Raw genomic sequence first — 22,012 nt, forward strand, 5'->3', positions numbered from 1 at the left:
ATAAGGATAAGATAATGTATGTGTTATGTTTATCACAGTGCCTGGTACACCATAAGCATATAATATACGATTGCTGGCATTATGTTTCCATTGATGCTTTTTCGTTGATGATTCAATCATTAGGTATACATATTTTCTGCCTGCCTGAATATAATTACAAACTTGATTCTGGGTGCTCACTTATTAATCTAAGTATGTAGTTGGAGATGTAAAAGTTACCATTGAATGAAAAGTACTTTTGTTGGAGTGACGAAGATGTCAACAGCTGAAGTCTGCTGCACAGAAAGGATGGAAAATGTTCATTGGGCCCTCTAACAATCTTCTAAAACATACCCCTTCCTTTGTGGGCTTAATGCAGATTGACACAGTCAGCACAGCATTATGGTTAATGGTGCATGAAGTCACTGAATCCTAGTAAATGAGCAGGAGGAAAGAGGAGGCAGTCCCATGTGGCTGAAACACTGGCATGTACCTGAGCCTGCAGGAAAGCCTCTCCAGGTGTCTGGCCTCTGGGAAATTAAGGAAAGTCAGTGCCAATCATAATATTCCTGCTGGCACAGAAATTCACCTGCAGGAGACTTGGATGCCTGAATGTATCTACCTACCTCACACGGGTGTTATATGGATTAAAAAGCAATGATGGTGAAATCCTGAAAATGAAAAGCTCTCTGCAAATATTAAGCAGTCTATTAGTGGTTATGCTCAGGACAACTCAAGTGTAGATTTTCTAGAGAAGTAAGACAGGCACAGGCCTCAACTTTGAAAAGGAAATGGTTATGGAGCACATCACCAATGTTTAATCTGCTTTGATTCTTAAAAGCTGACAATACGCAGGCTCTCAAAGGGAAGTAATATCCTTCCAGAAATTGCTGCACCTATGTGCAAAATACAACTTTTGAAATTTATTAACCCAACAGGCAGATTATGTCACTGTTATTGTCTTTAAATTCTTGCAAAGTCTTCATAAGTTGACTACTAAAACGTCTTCAAAAGTTCACACTAAGCAAAGTATCCTAGCAATGTTATTTTATTATTTTATTTTTTTTGAGATGGAGTCTCGCTCTGTCACCCAGGCTGGGGTACAGTGGCGTGGTCTCGGCTCACTGCAACCTCCATCTCCCGGGTTCACGCCATTCTCCTGCCTCAGCCTCCTGAGTAGCCGGGACTACAGGCACCCACCACCACGCCCAGCTAATGTTTTGTATTTTTAGTAGAGATGGGGTTTCACCATGTTAGCCAGCATGGTCTCGATCTCCTGACCTCGTGATCTACCCGCCTCGGCCTCCCAAAGTGCTGGGATTACAGGCACGAGCCTCCGCACCCAGCCCCCTAACAATATTATTTATAGGCATATAAATGTCCCGACAAAATAGTCGTAAATGTTTTCTCCAAATAGAACTTGTGTGGTTAGATTTATACTGCAAAGGTATACACAGTCATCCATGTTGCTGTCTCCATATTATTTTTACGGTTTAGCTTCAGTAATTAATGTTCAAAAGACAAAGTCTAGATAGACTGATTAGTCCAGAAAATAAGAAAATGTACTATTTACAGAAGAGAAACAATGTTTTTTCTATTTTAGTCATTCTAAACATTTGAAAGGATTAAATGGAACTAAAAATCTAAAGTCATACTTTCAGTTCACCAGAAGGACAACCAAGAAGGGAAATTATTAGACTTTTTTTTCCCTTTACATCAGGTTGGATGAGGCCAAGGGGGAGAATTAATATAATATTTAGGAGGGATACCAAAGGTCAAACCATCAAAATACCTTTCTCAAAGGGTTGCTTTGAGGAATAAAAGCTACCAGACAGCATTTGCTCTAGAGAAAGAAAGTCTAGGTTCAAACTCTTCCTATTCCATTTATTAACTGTTTGACTTTGAGCAAGCTAACTTTGTTAGGGAAGCATTCTCTGGTGTCCTCGAACTAGACTGATTTTTCTGAGTCCATGTTTTTCCAGTATTCAGTACCCCTCCTAGGTGATTTTCACAATTGTAACTACATATCGGTTGATTTGTTTTATATTTGTTCTCTGGCTAGACTGCAAGGATCCATAATGAAGAAACAAGCTACACTGTATTCTGTAGGTCAGTGCTTGGCATACAATAGGATCTCAATATGCTAAGTATTAATATCTATTTCCTAATTTAGCTGCTATAACAATCCTAAAGTTGGTATCAGTACTACTGTCCCAAGAAGAAAGTGAAGTGCCAGGCACGGTGGCTCACGCCTGTAATCCCAGCACTTTGGGAGGCCGAGGCGGGTGGATCACGAGGTCAGGAGTTTGAGACCAGCCTGGCCAAGATGGTGAAACCCCGTCTCTACTAAAAATACAAAAATTAGCTGGGCGTGGTGGCAGATGCCTGTAATCCCAGCTACTTGGGAGGCTGAGGCAGGAGAATCGCTTGAACCCGGGAGGCAGAGGTTACAGTGAGCCGAGATCAGGCCACTGCACTTTAGCTTAGGTGACAGAGCAAGACTCTGTCTCAAAAAAAGTACTAAGTGCTATATTCGAAACTTAAAACCAGGTCTCATCACCAGAGCCCTACACTACACTGTAGTGTCTCCTCCATATACCAACAAACTGAGGGATTCACAGCATTTTGTCCAATTTTGAGCCTAAATACTGGTAAAGTCAACTGACCAAAATACACACGTGCCTAATAAATGCACTAATTTACTGTCCTCCCTGTTTATAAATAACCCAACACCTAATAAACCCACTAATTCATTGTCCTCCTGTTTATAAATAACCCAACACAAGAAACCCAAATAAGGGTTTTCAGGTCTATATGCCATTGCTTTCTTATTAATGAAATAAAAATAATAGCATGAGTTTAGAAGGTACATTTTGTAGAAATAATTAATAAAATCAGGAACTTAGGAGGGGAGGGAAAAAGTGTTCAACTGACTCATCCATGACAGTGTAACTACTCTCTTGCTTCTTCAAACAGGAAGTGTCCTCTGATGCCATCTTCAGGGTGTCAGTGTGCTAACGTGACAAGGGACTATCCTAGGAGTCCGAAGCACAGCTCTTAGACTCACCAGCCACATTTTTGTCTTGCCTTGGCCTTGAATTCCTCATGTGCAAAATGAGGACTAAATTAGCTCTTTGAGATGTCCTCTAAAATTAGCATTCCATTATTTATATTAAACAAGGAGAAGGAAATAAAAGTAACCACTGAGTCAATCATCAATGGCCTGTAGTATTTGGCTGAAGGCTTCACGGTTAAGTCTCCCCAGGCTCCATTCAAACAATTTGATGGCTGAAGCCTAAGTTACGCAGTCATTTTTTCCTGGCCTATCTAAGCTACATTAGTAAGACTGAAACCTCCCCTAAGATTTAACCCCACAAATTTTTAATAAATATATGACTTAGTAACTCTTTGGGGAAATAATTGTTTGCATAGCCTTTCAGTCTTTGTTTTGCAGTCCTTAAATCCAACAAAACCTGTGAGACAAGAAAGATGAATTTGAAGTTTTTCATGCACTGAAAGCATTCCTGGAATTGTAACAAAATTAGTTTTGGGAGGAAGGTTAGTCTATTTTTATTCATTGTGTGGAACACACAAGTATTTCACTTGGACCTACAGACTAAACCCTCCTCCCCTTCCCTCAAGTCTGAGTGCACGCACACAGATACTTGTGTGCTTCTGAAATTCCTGGGTCACTCTAAGAATTGCTGAAGGGAAAGACATTCTACAGATCTGGTGGCTTTGACCTGCACCAAGGGCATGATTTATGCCACAGCAGTTTTGTGATGTTTGGACAACAGACTAACGAAATTCTTCTAACTATGATTTCAACATCATAAAAGGAAATTTAATGTACTGGCATTTATAAAACACAATCCTTTAAAAGATATCAAAATCTGACTTTCTAACTTGTTTCTCTTGTTGGCTTAACACATTTGAAGCTAATACTGAAGTTATTTAAATGTCTTCTTCAAATTTTCATGAACATTTTCAATCTTTTTCAAATATGGTATATATCCCTAGAAGATGTTTTCAACCTTTTTCAATTCAAAGTGTTCAGTTTTCTCTAGGTTATTCTCCATGTACCATCAATATATTCTCCTAAGCCTTTAGATTCCATTCCTCTGCTTCAAAAAAAAAAGTGAACATTTATGTAATCTACAGTTTAACAACCCCTCTTATCAACAAATTCCTCATACATATACAGTAAAGGAATTCAGTCTGGATAGAGTTCACTTTTATTTCTAGACTAAGGTGCAAATTACTCAAATTTTCTCTCCTCACCAACAGGTCCTGCTCTCTGGAGGATTTCTTGGCTCTTTGAGTTTTGACAATTTAAGTATCTTTTAAAAATTATGTCAGAGGTGAAAAATTGCTGAAGTTAATAAACCAATAAAGTTTGAATTCTCTTTCTGAAGAAAAGGCAGACATTCTCGCCTTGCTGAAATTAAACGAACACATCCTTCTCATATGTTTTCATTTTAAGAAACCAACTCTGAAGGTAGATTCTCTTTTCGAATGTTCAAAACTCTTCAATAAATATTGCATTTTTAATTGGCTTTATATTTTCAAGACATTATAGAGAAATAATTTAAAAGAATAAAGGTTTTACCCATAATTCAATCACATCAATAAAGTACACTGTTATTCTTATAGTTTTTCTCTAGTTTTTTAATTCAAATGCATAGTTTTCCATGGTTTAAATTCAAAAAATAAATGTAAATCTAATTTTTAATTTTTAAATAGAAGACTGTATATATTCTTCTAATCTATAATCATTTTGATCAAGTTACCATAATGTAATTAACAAACTCCCTTGTTGTATGGCATTTAAACTACCTTAAAGTTTTAGTTGCAATACAAAATGTTGCAAGAAATTGCTTTATGCATATAGTTTCCCTTAAGTTACTTACTTAAAATAAATTGCCAGTGGCATAATTACTAGGTCTGTGAACATTTTCATAACTTTTGATTTATATGAACAACTGCTTTCTAAGAAAAATGCTTTCCAAAAAAAAGGGATATCATAACAGTCATAATGTAACAATCATAATGTCACCTGTAATACATGTGCATACCAATGCCACTACAATCTTACCAGCACTGACTCGTCTCATAAAGAAACAGATTTTGGTAAATTTAAGTATAAAACTAACGTTTACTTATCTATTCTCTAGTAAAGTTAAACTTCTGGTAAAGTTGAAACTTTTCCATTAATTTGTTTGCCATTTATTCTTTTTATGAATTATCTCTTTATAGACTTGGCACAGTTTATCTGTTAGATTCTAGATGTTATTTGTAAGTGTGGTTGAATTCTCTAAGAGGGACAGCCATATGCTTATCTGTAATATCTGATGCAAATACTTCCAACAGTATTTTTTTATATTTATCTTAATTTTAGATTTCCAATGGTTTTAAATTTTTATATAGTTAAGTTCCTTGATCCTTCCCTTGTGAATGATTCACTGGAGGCCTAGTCCAGCTATTCTGCCATCTTCCACACTGAAGTCTACATACACATGTGGATTTCTGACTTCCTCAATTCTTTTCCAAGTTACCTTTATTACTATTGGAGTTTGCTGTTTATTTCAGTACCCTCCTTCCACCCCCTTTGTTCTTCTTTACTTACACACACACATACACACACACACACACACACACACACAGAGAGAGATACACACCTGCTATGAACAACCAAAAGAATTCTGGACCTGGGCAGTAAGTTTGAAGATGTCAGCAATGCCTACCTCAAACTCCAGCACTGAACAGTTGTGGATCCCCGATAACTAAAGTCAGCCTGTGGGACCTCCTCTGCTGCCTATTCGCCAACCCTTCTCTACCATCAGTAACTTGTTTCTACAACATCTTGCCCTCCTTTCACTATAATGAACACACAGGTCCAAACACCAAGCATCTACCCCTTTTCTCCTACATCATTACTTCCTGCCTCCCATGGCCAACTCAGCCTCACCTTTATCATTACAGAGCCTTCTCAGTGAATCATATTGAACCTTATCTTTCTTAAGAAGTCTTCTCCATGCTCCAGCATTTCCCTGCACATTTTTTCTTCCTCCATACACTAGCAAACAGAGCTTTTCCTTCTCTTATCAGCGCCTCTCAGCACAAACTTTGCTTCCTTCTACGCTTTTAGAACACTTCATCATAGCCACTTGTTAATAACATCCTACCTGAGTTATGACGTTTACTTATATATGGACCTCTGCATTCCCACCTACCAATTTTCAGGGATTTTGTTCATCTATCTGAATGAACTCAATATTTGGCTAACAGTTGTCCACCACACCCTATCTGCTTCTATTCTTATGGGCAACATTCTTAAAACTAATAGCCAGAGCTATCCTCTAAGTTTCTGATAGTTTTTCAGATCTCTAAAACTATCAGCTCTAATTCATATCAACCATCTCCAGTTTATAGCAAAGAGTTGTCGATTCAATTAAATTTTCTACTTTAACAATCATGCCATCAGCAAGTACGTTTTTATTTATTCTTTCACAAAATGAAAGCATTTTATTTATTTTTCTTGCCTGATTTACTGGCTAGAATCTCTACCACAATGTTGAATAGATGTGGTGAGAACAGACATCCATGTCTTATTCCTGATCTGATCAGGAAACAATTCAGTCTTTCTCCATTAACTCTGACAACAGCTGTAGGGTTTTCACAGATGCCCTTTAACAGTTGAGGTAATTCCTTTCTAGTCCTACTTTGTTAATAGCTTTTGTCAAAAATTGATGCTGAGTTTTTTTTGTTTTTGTTTTTTGCATATCTTCACAGGATCATAGTTTCATCTTTTGGTTTATTGATATTGTGAATAAACTGATTGATTTTTGAATGTGCAACCAACTCTGCATTCCTAGAATAAATGTCACATGTTCATGACATATTATCCTATTAAAATATTATTGTTGAATTTAATTTGGTATATTTTTGCTTATAATTTTTGTATCTGTGTCCATGAGGGCTATTGGTATGAAGCTTTTTTTTTTTTTTTTTTTTTTTTTTTTTTTTTTTTTTGTAATGTCTCTGTGTGGTTTTGGTATCAGCTTCATGCTGGTCTTAGGAGTTGGGGCATTTTTCCCTCCTCTTCAATTTTCTGGAAGAGACTAAAGAATTGGCAGTATTTCTTCCTTAAAATGTTTGGTAGGATTCACTAGTGAAACCAACTAGACTTAAAAAAAGAAAGAAAAGGTATCAATTTCTTAAACAGATATAGGTCTATCCAGGTTTTCTATTTCTTCTTGAGTGAGATTTGATGGTTTGTCCTTCAAGGAAATTGTCCATTTTCTCTAAGTTGTCAGATTTACTGGCATAAGGTTGTTCATGATATTCCCTTATTAACCTCTTACTATTTATAGAATCTATATTGATGTCACCTTTCTTATTCCTGATATTGGTTATTTGTGTCTTTTTTATTTTTTCTGATCAGTTTGGCTAGAGTTTTACCAGTTTTACTGACTTTCTCAAAGAACTAGCTTTTGGTTTTACTAATTTTCTCTATGGCTCTTCTATTTCATTGATTTCTACTTTGATCTTTATTTTCTTCTGCTTATTTGGGTTTAATCCATTTTTCTTCCAGTTCCCTAAGGTGGAAGCTGAGGTCATTGATTTGAGGCCCTTCTTTTCTGAATAGACATTTAGTGGTATAAACTTTTCTTAAAGTCCCGTTTTATAGGCACCACAAATTCTAATATGTTGCATTGTCATTCAGTGCAAAATCCTTTATAATTTCTCTTTTGCTACCTTCTTTGATTCGTGGGTCATTTAGAAGTAAGTGAGTTTGTAAATACTTGAGATTTTTTTTTTCTTCTTGTTATTGATTTTTAATGCAATTCTATCACGGTCTAAGAACATATTGGATATAACTTGAAGCCACTTAAACTTATTTAGATTTGCTTTCATAAACCAGGTTATGGCCTAATTTGGCAAATATTCTATGTGTACTTGAAAAGAATGTCTTCTGTTGTTGGGTGGAGTATTTTATAAAATGTTAATCAGGTCAAGTTAGCTGTTAGTGTTGTTGAAGTCTGCTACGTACTGGCTGATTTTCTTCCCACATGATCTATAAAGTATTGAGAGAAACTGACGTCGCTGATTGTAATTGTGGGTTTGTACATTTCTTTTTGCAGTTCTGTCATTTTTTTGTTTCATATATTTTTAAGTTCTGTTAGGTACATAAATGTGTAGAATTATTACAGTCTCCTGAATAAATGATCCCTTCATCATTATGAACTTCTTTATCCCCAGCCTTATTCATTGCTCTGAAATCTACATTGTCTAATATTAACATAGCTACCCCAACTTTCTTTTGACTAGTGTTAGCATGATGTATCTTTTTCCACCTTTGTATATTTAATCTATTTGTGTCTTTATACTTAAAGTTTGATTCTTAAAGTCAGTATTTGGTTGGGTCTTGGTTTTTAAAAAAATCTATTATATCAACCTCTGTCTCTTAATTAAGGAGTCTAGATCATTTATATTTAATATTATTATTGATGTTTAGGTTTGACTGTATCACCTTTCTACTTGTTTCCTATTTGTTTCATCTATTCTTGTTCCCCTTTTCTTCTTTTTCTGCCTTCTTTTGGATTATTTTTGATAATTCTATTTTCATCTCATTTGTTGCTTTATGGGCTCTCATCCTTTGTTTTGTTATTTTATTGGTTACTTTAGGGTTTACAGTAAATCTTTAATCAGTCTACCTTCAAGTGTTATTATACGACTTCACATATAGTACAAGAATCTTCCAATAGTGTACTTCCCTTTTTCCCCATGACCTTTGTGCTATTGTTCTCAGGCATTTTACTTTTACATATGTTGTTAACCCCATAATATGTGCTTATTATTGTTGTTTAAAGACATACCTCTTAAAGATATTTAAATAATAAGAAGTAAATATTATATAATTATCCACATAATTTGCATTTCTGGCAGTCTCCATTTTATATAGATCCAGATTTCCATCTGGTATCATTTTTTTTCTGACTCAAGGACTTCTTTTAACATTTCTTATAATGCTTATCTGCTAGCAATAAATTCCTTCAGATTTTGTATGTCTGAAAAAGTCTAGTCTTTATTTTTACTTTCTTTTTAAAAGAGACTTTTGCTGGATATTAGTTGACAGTTTTTTCCCTTTCAGATGCTGCTCCAATGTCTTCTTACTTGCATTTTTCCAGTGAAAAAATGTGATGCCATCCTTATTTTTATTCTTACTCATGTAACATCTTTTATCTGCTTTTAAGGTATTTTCTTTGTACTACTTTGTTCTCAAGAGAAAAAAAAAACCAAAAGGATGTGTGTTTATATGCATATTTATATGTATGTATAGGTGCATGTATGGATATAAATATATACCTTTGTTTATATATATATATATAAATAGAGACAGAGAAATACTTTAAGAAATTGGCTCACACAATTACAGTTGCTATAAACCCAAAATCTACAGTTTGGGCTGGCAGGCTGGAGACCCAGGAAAGAATCAATACGCAGTTCAAGTCCAAAGGCCATTTACTGAAGAATTCCCTCTTGTTCCAGGGAGGCAAGTCTTTTATTCTATTCAGGCCTTCAACTGGCTGGATGAGGCCAAACCACATTATGGAGGACAATCTGTCAAAATCCGCAGATTTAAGTATTAAGTTCATCCCAAACTACCCTTATAGAAATATCCAGACTAATGTCTGACTACATATTTGGGCACTGGGACCCAGCCAGTTACACACAAAATTAAACATCATATTCTTTATCACCGGTTTTGAACAATTTTATTATGATGTGCCTTGGTATAGTTATATTCACGTTTCTTTCTCTCTCTCTCTTTTTTTCCCCCACAAGAGATGGGGTCTCTCTCTCTGTCACCCAGGTTGGAGTAAAGCAGTGTGATCACAGCTCATTGCAGCCTCAAACTCCTGGGATCAAGCAATCCTCCTACTTCTGCCTCACAAGTAGCTGGGACTACAGGCAAGCACCAACACATGCAGCTAATTTATTTATTTATTTATTTGTAGAGATGGGGGTCTTACTATGTTGCCCAAGCTGGTGTCAAATTCCTGGCCTCAAGTGATACTTCCGCCTCAGCTTCTCAAAGTATTGGGATTACAAGTGTGAGCCACTGTGCCCAGCCTTGCTCATGTTCCTTTTGTTTGGGGTTCAGTGAGCTTCTTGGATCTGTAGGTGTAGAGTTTTCTTCATGTTCAACAATGTTTCAGCCATTATTTCTTCAAATATTTTTCTGTCCCTTTCCACTCACCTTCATGGACTCAAATTACCCTAGCTTAGGTTTAAAGTTGTCCCATAGCTCGCTGGATGCTCTTTGCATTTTTTTCTCTCTCAGATTGTCTCTATGAACAGATACAATACAGTGATAATAACAGTTTTAATGTCCCCCTTTGCTACTTCTAATATTTACATCAGTTCTGGGTCAGTTCCAATTCGATGATTATTCTCATTATGAATCATGATTTCTGGCCTCTTCCCATCCCTGATAATCTTTGACTGACTGGCAGACATTGTGAATTTTACCTTGTTGAGTGATGAATATTTTTTCTTTAAATCCTATACAGCTTTGTGCTGAGATGCATTACATTACCAGACAACCATCTGAGGTTTTGGGACTTGCTAATATTATCTGTCATGTGAGTCCAGAGTGGTACTCCACTTACGGCTGACCTTGCCAAGTACTCTACCCAGTTCCTTGTGAGTTATAAGTTTTTCAGTCCATCTGGTGATTACAGGCATAGTTTTCAACCCTGTATGAACACCAACCACTGTTCCCTCTAGTCCTTTAAGATGGTTCTTGCCCTGGCCTTGGGAAGTTTCCTCACATGCATGCATTGAATATTTTGCTGGATACTCAAGGGAGACTCTGAAAATCTTTAGTGTTCTCTCTCTGTACAACTCTTTTCTCTGGTATTCTATTCTATGAACATTAGCCATCTTGGTCTCCCCTTGCTCTCGGCTTCATCTCCTCAATGCAGGGAGTTCACTGAGCTCCACCTCAGCTCCCTCTGGAACTGTGCCACAGCCTGGAAACTCTCAAGGCATTAAGCTGGGACAATCACAGAGCACATCTCATTTGTTTCTCATTTCTCAGGGATAACTGCGTTTCCTGGCTTGAAAATTGTTGCTTTGTATATTTCATGAGCTGGTTGCTGTTGTTGTTCTTCTTCTTTTAGATGGGAGAGTAAACTAGTTCCAGTTATTCCATCTTACCAGAACAAGAAGTCCTCACTCATCCTTGTGCTCACTGCCCTCTCTTGAGCATATTCAGTCTTGCCTTTTCCCCTGATGACCACCCTAAACCTCTGACTACTAGCATGCTCAAGAGACCTTTTCTTATAGAAACAAATTCTCTTAGCACTATTTTCTCTTTTTCTGTCCACCTTCTTGAAAGAACTGTCTATATTCCAAAGAGTTAAGGAGTGAAAACGATGGTCTACCCCTCAATTCCTTTGCTTGCTCTTCATCCCCTCAATTCTCAGGTTGGTTTCCACCTCAATACTCTACTGAAACTGTTTCTACCATTAGTTATTAATTACCACGTTGTCACCACATCCAATGGCCTTTCTCAGACTTTAGACTTACGTTTACCTTATTTGACTGGTTCTTTTGATTTCTTGCCCATATTTGACTTAAAGGATATTATATAGAACTGTCTGACCTATATTCCTTATCAAAAGCAGATGCTGTAATGTAAGCTCCAAAGAGCAGGGTTGTTTGTATATTTTGTTAACTGATATATCCTCAGTCCTTAAATCAGTGGCAGTCACATAACAGACATTCAATGAATGTGGAATGAATTAACAAAATATAATTGGTGCTTAGCACCTTTCTTCCCGCTTTCTACCCATTACCCCTGGACAAGCTCATCCAAATCTATGACTGAGTTGTCTCTCAAATCTCTCTAGTCTGCTTGGCTTTTAGCATTTGGATCACTGTTGGATGTCTTGTCAAACCTCAAAATCAGCATGCCCCAAACTAAACTCATTATTTTTATCTTAAAACTCTGTCACATTCTCCCTACTTTTTTTTTTTTTAACAATTCACCAAAACATAAAGCTATAAACTTGACTCATATTTGATTGTTTTATCTTCCTTTCCTCTTGAATACCCAGCATAACTGTCACTTTTACAGTAGCAGTAACATCCCCACAAGTATTGTCCCTGCTGGATCACCTCTACATCTAACAGGTCTCCCCCAACAGCTTCTCTAAGTCTCTAGCCTTAGATCCCAACATCCCCTAAATCTCTGCATGCTGTGCCTTAACCCAGTAAGACCACTAATCTTTCTCTGAATATACCTATGCTTTCTATCCCTAACTCTCCTCACCCCATTCCTCTCTGCTTAGACCTTACCCATCATATGAGACCCTACTCAAATGTAACCTTAACTATGAGCTTTCTTTGACCCTCCAGATTAGAAATGATCACTCTCCTCTTTTAACTTTCATATTTACACCATTAATATAACACATATCACATTCTGTCTTAGCACAGAGCCTGGAGTATATTAAATAAGCAATATATGTGAACTGTTTTTATCAATACACAACTTATCTTCCTAACCTGGGTGTAAACTTCTTGATGGCAGCTTCCTCCAAAGAGGCCTCCAAAAAGACATTATGCCAGGTTCAGAACAATGACAACTCAAAGAAGCTTGATATCCAAAAAATTAGCCAACCTAACAACTAATTCATCAGAAAATAGACTAGTGCACAATTCTGGTAAAACGTATTATTAAAAAATTTCATAAAAACAAACACAAAACATAACTTACAAGTAAGAAAATTATATACAGATAATCTTTTACACTATAATTCAAAACTGCTCCTCTAGCAATAGTGCTAGAAGATAACTCTGATAAGTGAAGAAAAGCATACTTTGTGTTACTCTTACACATATTTTAGAAGCTATTTTGATTGAAAAGACTTAAGCTAATAAAGTTTATATAACTTCATTGCACATTACTCAAAAGATATTCACAGTTTTATAAACAACCAATAAAGTACCTACTTCCACCAGAAATCCTAAACCTTGGATACCACTAAACTTCACTTGAACACCTGAACTGGCATCCTATCTCTAGCTATGTAACAATAGCCATGTCACCATACCTTTGATCTTCAGGTAATTTAGAAACAGAATATGGAAAAAGATTCCTACCTGTCATATAAGGGCTGTTATAAGGCTAACAGAAGACTATATAGATTCAATTTACTTTCATTTGCTTATTAACAGACATCTGTATCCATGCCTAAACCTTGTGACAGACTCTGGGTATACAATACCACATATGATGCTCTAGCTGCCCTTAAGAGATTCTAACCCAAGATGGGGAGATGGGCACATACATAAAGCAGTGCTACAGGCACTAACTGGGAGAAATACGGACAACGCCCAGTGGGGAGAGGAGGGAGTACTCAGTTCTGTCCAAGGAGAAAAGAAGGTAGTCAGAAACAGCTTCCTGCAAAGAGGCTACACATGAGCTCTGCTAATCTTCTCTGGGGTCTCTACTCATTACAATCCCCTTATCCTTTCCCTCATCCTAAAATCAAGCAATGTCTCTAACCCTTTAACAGCTCCACAGTTTCTTATCTCAATTCTAAAATCTGAAAAGCTCTCAAAACCTGCACTTTTTTAAAACTTACTTGCCGGCAAAAGCTGACGTGAACTGAAGTAAGGTTCTTGATCAACAATATCCTTTCTACTTTTTGTAGGAAATCCTAGTTAATAATTCCATCATCCAACCATCACGTAAGCCAGGAATTGAGACAGCCATGGCTTTCTCACTCTCACCCTCCAAACCCAACTACACTAGGCTTTGTCAATTCTAGCTCTCAAATATATATCCTACCTATTCCTTCCTCTTCTTCCCCCTGTAACTGCCTCAGCCAAGGCCTTCATCATCTCAGTTGCACCATCACAGTAATCTTCTGCCTCCGCCTCCAACTGCGCTACTCACAATTTAGCCTCCACATCATGGCCAGCTTGATTCTTCTCAAATGGACATCTGATCATGTAGTTTCCTTGCTTAAAATACTCTGATGTCTCTGCACTATCTACACGAAAAGCCCAAACTCCTGAGCACAGTATGAAAGGTCTGCTAAGATTCAGCCACCACTGAATACAATTTGTCTCCTGGCACTCTATTAAACATACACTGCAGCCACACACAAATGCAGTTTCTAGGAGTTGCCAATCTGTTTGACACTCCTTACCTTCACACTGCCCCTCTGCTCCTAAGTCCTCTTTCTTTTCCACCCCCTCACCTTATTTCTTGTACCAGACCTACTTATCAACCTCAAATCTAATGTAGCAAACCAAATCATGCATCCTTCCCTTCCCCAGGTCCAGGCAACACTGTCATGCCCCTTCCTTCCATGCCCCATCTATTTCTGGATATGAACTTAATGTTTATGCAGCCAGTATACTGAGACTCCTGGAATGCTGAAATCATCGCTTATCTCATGTCTAACACTGGACCTAGCACATAGTAGGTGCTCAAAATAAGCTGGCTGATGAACAATCTTTTCAACTTTCCAGAAAACATCTCACCCTTCTCCTTCCTTCTCAGCTCTCTCTGCACAGCAGCTCTGTTCTCTATCTCTTACAGCTGTTCTTCCATTATTTCCTCTTATACTCTTCTTTCCTTCTTCATTGTCAGAAGAGAAAGAGGACACATTTGGGAAGTGAAGAAAAACCCTAGCCAGGATTTCTCACTAATAACTTGACACTGAAAACATTTTGGGCCTGATAACTCTTTGCTGTGGGGGCTGCCCTGTACATTGAAGGATGTTTAGTAGCACCACTGGCCTCTATCCACCAGAAGCCAGTAATACCCCTCCCCACAAATGACTCCAAAATGTCCCACTCAGAGGCATAATCTCCCCTGATTGAGAACCACTGCCCTAGACTGACTTTGCTTGGCTCCATCAGGAAGCAATAGGGGAAGGCTGATGCATGATCTCTTGCACTGACTTTCCTCCAGGTGAAAAATGACAAGGAAAGAAGATTCAGACTACATCAGTTTACTATTCAGGGAGTGTGTGGCCAAGAAACATAGGCTGGAGTGACACTTCAAGGAAGGAAAGTACTCTATGGGCCCAAGATGAATCCATTTTGTCATATATCAGAGTTCCAGATTTCAGGATTCATTTGTATTAATATTTTCCCAAGCTTCATTTATTCAGTGCCACTGAAATGACCTGCTAGAGGGATATAGGATACAGCAATTTAATGCTATTAAATTCATTTCAAATCTTTTTTGAAAAAGAGATAGTGTTTAAAATTAAAATAAACTGATTAAAGCATTAAACTATAAGTAGAAGGGAGGGGATAAATTGCACAGGAAACTAGGACATCTTGGGATGAGAAAGAAGAAGGGACAGAACCCCAGCACAGTACCCACCTGTGGTCGACACGACGTTATCGGGGCTTTCACTGCAGAGTTTGGACAACAGACTGGTTTTGCCAGAACCTGTGAGGCCTATGCAAACCAGGTCATATTCTGGTCGTGCAGGTGGTGGTCCCTTGCAGCAAAGTGCTCTAAAACACTGCCAAAAGAAGGGGAAAAAAATGTTCCTTTAAATGACAGTATGGAAATAAACCATAGTCACATTTAAAATGACTGAGTAAGTATTAAGAGGTAATTGAATAAAGTATTACCTATAAGGAAGAAAACGGTAACTTTAGAACAGTGAAACCTGGAGACACCACTCTAGCCAAGTGATCAAAGTTAACATTCTTAGTTATGAAATGTTTTTCTACTTCATGCCTCCCTTCCTGCTATGGCAGGTGCACTGCAAAAAGCATGACATCATCCCACAGCTTGCCTGCCAAAACCACACAATCTGAATCTAAGCATGAGGAAACCAGATAAAGCCAATCTAAGGAGTATTCCATAAGGCAACTGGCCTGTTCTCCTCCAAAATATCAATGTCTTAAAAGTCAAAGAAAGACTGAGGAACTGTTCCATGTTAAAGAAGACTAAAAAGACATAATAATAAAATGCAATATATCTTGGACTGGATCCTAGATCAAAAGGGGAAAAAAAAAGCCATAAATGACATTATTGAGACAATAAGTGAACACTGAATATAGACTGCATATTAGATAAGAGTACTGTATAAGGTTAAATTTCCTGAATTTAATCAATGTACTGTGGTTATGTAAGAAAAATCATTGTTCTGAGAAAATATTCTAATTATTTATAATACCTCTAAGTATTTAGAGGTGAAGGGTCTTGATGTCCACAATTAACTGGCTCAGAAAAATCTAAATCTCCAGCTCCATCTTTATCTGGTGAGGAGAGTGACAAAGCCAACATGGCAAAATGTTAATGACTAGTGATGCTGAGTAAAGAGAATAGAGGAAAACTCCTTGTTCTGGTCTTACCACTGATATTATTTCAAAATACAAAAATTTTTAAAATCATTAAATAGAGTCTCTATACATACCACTGCCTTTCTGGCCTTTGCTAAATTCTTTTTCAGGTCAATCAACCAGGGTACTATGAACTGTAGTATAGTTTGCTCTGCAAGAGTTAAAGACAAGGGGATCTGGGCCAGGCACAGTGGCTCAGGCCTGTAATCCCAGCACTTTGGGACCAGTCTGGCCAATGTGGTGAAACCCAGTCTGTACTAAAAATACAAAAAGAAATTAGCCAGGCATGGTGGCAGGCACCTGTAATTCCAGCTACTCAGGGGACTGAGGCAGGAGAATCACTTGAATCTGGGTGGCAGAGGTTGCAGTGAGCCAAGGTCACACTATTGCACTCCAGCCTGGGCAAAAAGAGCGAGACTCCATCTCAGAAAAAAAAAAAAAAGAAAAGAAAAGAAAGAAAGAAAGAAAAACAAGAGGATTTGGGAGACAGGGTATCATTTGTGCAGCTTTTGATCTTTCTACTTATCCCATATCCATAGGGGCCAACTATGTGCCAGCTTATAGAGCCTGAAACATTTAGACCCTGAATGATTCATGAGAGAAAGAGGGAAAGGGGGAGACAGGGAGGAAAGAAGGCAGATCCACTCACTTTTGGGTCATCTGGAGATTACGAGAGAAGAGACCTATAAAAAAGCCTGTGTTGATTCATCTCACTCAGATAAAATCTGAGTACTAATTGGCTGTCATACTCTCGTAAATCAAACTTGATTATTTCTCTCCCTCATTTCTCACATCTAATCAACAAATCTAGTTCATATGACCTCTGAAGTAGCTCTAGGATCTGTCCACTTCTGTCCAGCCCAGGCCATCATCACCTGAACAACATCAATATCCTCCCACTAGTTCCAGTATATTTGCTCTTGTGCCCCCTATTCTCCACATTGCAGTGACTGGATTGCTTATAAAGAGAAAATCTGACCATACGTGCTTAAGCCACCCCAGTGACTTTGCCCAGCTCTCGAGCCCAAACCCTTACCATGGTCTACCCCACACTCCATGATCTGCTCCAGCCAAGCTCACCAGCCTCATTGCCCTCACTCCCCTACATCCTCCAGCCATGCCCTCTCTTACCTCAACTGAGGCATCTAATATGCTGTTCCTTCTTCCCCCAATTCTGGACTTAGCCAACACCTCATCATTTTTAGGTCTCAACTTAATCATCCCATCCTCAGGGCAGTCTGCTCCAATCCTAAGATTGTGTTAGCAATTCACGTCCAGCTCTACTGGGCTTTTATAAATTCATTACACAGACAATTGCAGTTTCTTATTCATCACCAGCCTGTGAGAACCATGTCTGTCCCCCTTCATCTCAGTACTCCCAGTGTCTAGCAGAGAACATGGCATAGAATCTACCCTCAGCAGATAATTGTTGAATGAAGAATGAACGACACTTAAATTTTACCTAAGCAAAGAAAAAAGAAAACATAGAGACTAACAGGATGCTTGATCTATGTTCTCTGAGCCCTCCACGCTTCAAGAAAATACTGTCAAAATAAGAAACCGCTGACTTTTTCACTTCGCTTCAATGCCATTAGTTAGCCTAGTTCCCAAAAGAGTGGTTTTGGTGTACAGGATCAACTTTCTTGGTAAATTAGAGCTTCTTTTTGTCCTAAATTCACTTTTCCTCTGTTCTCAAGAGGTTCTGCCTGCTTCTGGTAAACAATTCTATGACCCATATTCTTCATGGGTTTATTCATGCTAATTGTATTTCCTCTCAGTCTTTTCAAGCCTGAGGAGTCCTACTTATTTCAGTCTGTCTTCATCCTATGAGATGTTCTTCTCTGATCTTCCTTTAGTTCCAGCACACCCTCTCCCACAAGATTAATGACCATAACTACTAACAGCATTCTAAACGCCAACACATCACTTCATGGATTCATATGAAGGCTGGCTGATACTGTCTGACTTTAACAAGCTTTTTTATAAAGTCTGTCTCCCAGACTCAGAATGAGAGTTTTTCTCAGAGATAGGTTTATTTGTGTATGTGTCTGTTCCCTCAAAGATGGCCATGGCTAGCAGCTGTTCAGACTTAGAAGTGGTCTTCCACATTCAATTAGGACAGACAACAAAACTAGTCACACAGTTTCTTTTACTGGGCTGCGTTGGTCTTGTTTGGGGTTCAAGGAGGAGAGATCCCATTCCTGCCCTAGAGGCCTTCATTCTCACTCAGCTCCTTGCCAGAATTCCTCTGGACTATCTCCTGGAGGAGGGCTGGCCTGACTACCCTGGCCCAAACTATCATAAACCTTAAATATCAAATGAAACTGTATGTGAATGATTGCTAGAGCATCCGGTTTAAATTATTCATGTCGTTATCACTCATATTTTTGCCAAACACTCCAGAATTTCATCTTCATGTTCTTTTTAAAATCCAGAGTAGAAAAACTTTGTAGCCAACTCCATTAATATCTATTTTACCTGTTTATTCTAGGTCACCTAAGCCACTTCTGACATAAAAGATGATTTTGCAATGATAGCAGTGATATTCTACTCCACTGTCTTTTCTCTTCTTTCTTTCTTTCTTTTTTTTTTTTCAGACAGAGTTTCACTCTTGTTGCCCGGGCTGGAGTGCAATGGCACAATCTCGGCTCACAGCAACCTCCACCTCCCGGGTTCAAGTGATTCTCGTGCCTCGGCTTCCTGAGTAGCTGGGATTACAGGTATGCGCCACCACACCCAGCTAATTTTTGTATTTTTAGTAGAGACGGGGTTTCACCATGTTGGCCAGGCTGGTCTTGAACTCTCGACTTCAGGTGATCCACTCACCTCAGCCTCCCAAAGTGCTGGGATTACAGGTGTGAGCCACCATGCCCAGCCTTCTCTTCTCTTTCTTTTTCTCTCTTTTTTTTTTTTTTAAGACAGTCTGTCTCTGTCACTCAGGCTGGAGTGCAGTGGTGCAATCTCCACTCACTGCAACCTCCAAATCCCAGGCTCAAGCAATCCTCCCACCTCAGCCTCCCGAGTAGCTGGGATTACAAGTGTGCACCACCACACCCAGCTAATTTTTGTATCTTTGTAGAGATGGGGTTTCACCATGTTGCTCAGGCTGGTCTCCATCTCCTGAGCTCAGGTGATCCACTCACCCCGGCTGCCCAAAGTGCTGAGATTACACACGTGAGCCACTGAGCCTGGTCTCTCTTCCCTTTTTATATTCTCACCAGTGATATCATCTCCAGTCCCATGGTTTCAATCATATAACCGAATGTCATAAGGACATCCAACATGACATCTCCCCCTCCGTCTCCCCAAGCTCTTTCTCTAAGTCCAGGCTCTATAGTTCCAGCTGTTCTATAAGAACCCAAACCAAAACTGAATAAAACAAAAGCCTCCCCACAAAACCACAGGCTGTGGAAATAAGGTTCTTTGGAACTTAATGGCTAGATTGATAGTTATTACAAGGCAAAATCTTTGACATAAATCACAGACTCTTAGAAATCAACATGTATTTGAACTGACTGAATAAATCATCCTATGGGTAACAGGAATAGTGTCAGATTTTGAGTCAACAAGATAAAACTTTCAACAGTATGCTACTTCCAATGGGGAAGGAATGGTCATGTTTTCTGAGTCAGTTCCTAAAAACTGTAAAGAGTTTTCATTTGTTTTTTGTTTTAAAACTTAATGAAGCTTTGGATCCTATAGTCAATTTACTTAAAATTACTCATTTTGGCCTCTAGACTATACTGTACCAAAGTTCATTGTGTGTGTCTCCTACAGCAGCTCTTGCATTGTTAAGAGTAAGCCCCTTTCACTGTTGTACAATGCGAAACACAATGCTGTCGGCAGTCCTGACAGCAAGCGGCAAACTCAGGCCTCATTCCCAGGCCAAACACTAAGGCATTGTGTAACTCTGTTCAAGCCTCATAAACCTATCCATGCTTCAGTTTCCCCACGATTAACCAGTAACATTTTAACACTCTCTGCCGCTTCCTTTCTTCAGGAGGATGTTATGAGGCCTGGGTGCAATACATCATGCTACTAAGAAAGGCGCCATACAGGTAAATAACTGCTCATTGCGATTTTCATTTTTCCAAGGTATCTTAAGTGACAGTTAGCTTCCTTAGACAAGGGCCTGGCCACCCAATATACAGCCCAGACTGTAGTACTTCCAACAGCCCACAGCAGCCTCCACATGCTCCATTCTATCCCAGTTCAGCCCAAGACACTAAACACACACAACCTGTCCCCACTCCCCTGGTAGCAGCAAATAGAGAACAGAGCCAGTCTGAATATAAGTATACCCTCTTGGGGGGCCAACCAAGGTCATGGTCTCCACTGCCTAGACTGCTTCAGCTCACAGGCCTTTTCACACGGGACAAGTTATGACTTGGTCTTTTTTAAAAGAACCCAGTGTATCTACTATATTATGTCAGGACACAGGATGTTTCCCCATTCTGTGTACCCACAAACTTCTAGTGCTGTATTTGAGGAAATGGTGTGCCTAGGTCTTGAGAGAGGGCAAAGACCAGAATCACCAGTAATAACTGACTATATCGTAGACTTTGGACAAATCATGTAATCATATAATCAACAGCTGAAATAATGGATTAGCTTGAAAGCAGAAGCAAACCCCTTAGAAATATGTGCTTAAAAAGGAAGGTGACTACAAATATTGGAAAGAAAAGAAAGCAAAAGATAAAATTACTAGAGTAAAATAAGGACTTGCATTTCAGTCTGATGACCTAGCACCAAGGCAGCAAGATTATCTTAAAATGTTCCCATTTCTGTTTGGAACAGAAATAAGGTATTTATTTCCCCAACAGTGCCAGACATTTTGTAGGTCTAGCAGAGCACTGTACACAATCAGTACTTGATGAATAACCCCTCATGTCAACATTGCAAAGCACTAATCAAGCATTTAATTGTACATTTCATTTTCCTCTATATTTCTACCTTAATGACTCCGGCCACCCTCCAAATCACCACTATTCCTTCACATGGTCTGAGCACTTAACGTTTCTATGCCACCCTGTTCCTGTGCACACAGAATAAAAGTTCCTCCCCACTTTCCTACTTGGCAAACTCCTGCTCAAAGTTCTGTTTAAAGGGCACCTCCTCTGAGAAGTGTTCAATTCCCTCAGAGAGAAATAATCCTTTCTTCCACTTCTTGGTCCTGTACAGACTAGCACTACAGTTAATACTATGACACATGTATTCTTTTCTAAGATTCACTGGCTGATAGAAATATGCACACAGACACAAAGACATATCCATTCTTGGTCCTATTATAGGTTCAAAAAGCTTAATCTTACAGCTACCAAGGGGTGGCCAGGCACCAAAACAGAACAGCAAAGTTGTCCTACAAATATGTGTTACTAGACGAGAATCTAGCTCAAAATCCTCCCACTTTGGCACTGGCCCCTGCATTGCCAGTGTTTCCTACCATCCTGTTTCGCTAAATTCCCAGCCCTTTGGGACATGGCATTTGTTTCAATTGATGCTCTGTTTTTCATCATGAATACATGATTTTATTCTGAGCATGATTTCAATTTGATTGAAGCTCTGTATAGTTGCTGGAAACTTTTCTTCAGTCGGCTTTGGGACTTCTCCACAGCCAGACTACCCAAGCCCCACACTG

General features: G+C 38.6%; 1 protein-coding gene across 10 annotated transcripts in view; it reads right to left on the minus strand.

Annotated features, from left to right (window-relative positions):
• ARL15 (ARF like GTPase 15) overlaps nucleotides 1-22,012 on the minus strand; it is a 426,632-nt gene that overhangs the window by 272,442 nt on the left and 132,178 nt on the right. For all 10 annotated transcript variants that reach the window (NM_019087.3, XM_011543500.3, XM_017009598.2 and 7 more), the window contains one exon: nucleotides 15,401-15,545. In NM_019087.3, the coding sequence (NP_061960.1) occupies nucleotides 15,401-15,545 (145 nt within the window). The remainder of the gene's footprint in view (nucleotides 1-15,400; nucleotides 15,546-22,012) is intronic.

This window comes from Homo sapiens, chromosome 5 (assembly GCF_000001405.40).
Source record: "Homo sapiens chromosome 5, GRCh38.p14 Primary Assembly".
Taxonomy (NCBI): domain Eukaryota; kingdom Metazoa; phylum Chordata; class Mammalia; order Primates; family Hominidae; genus Homo; species Homo sapiens.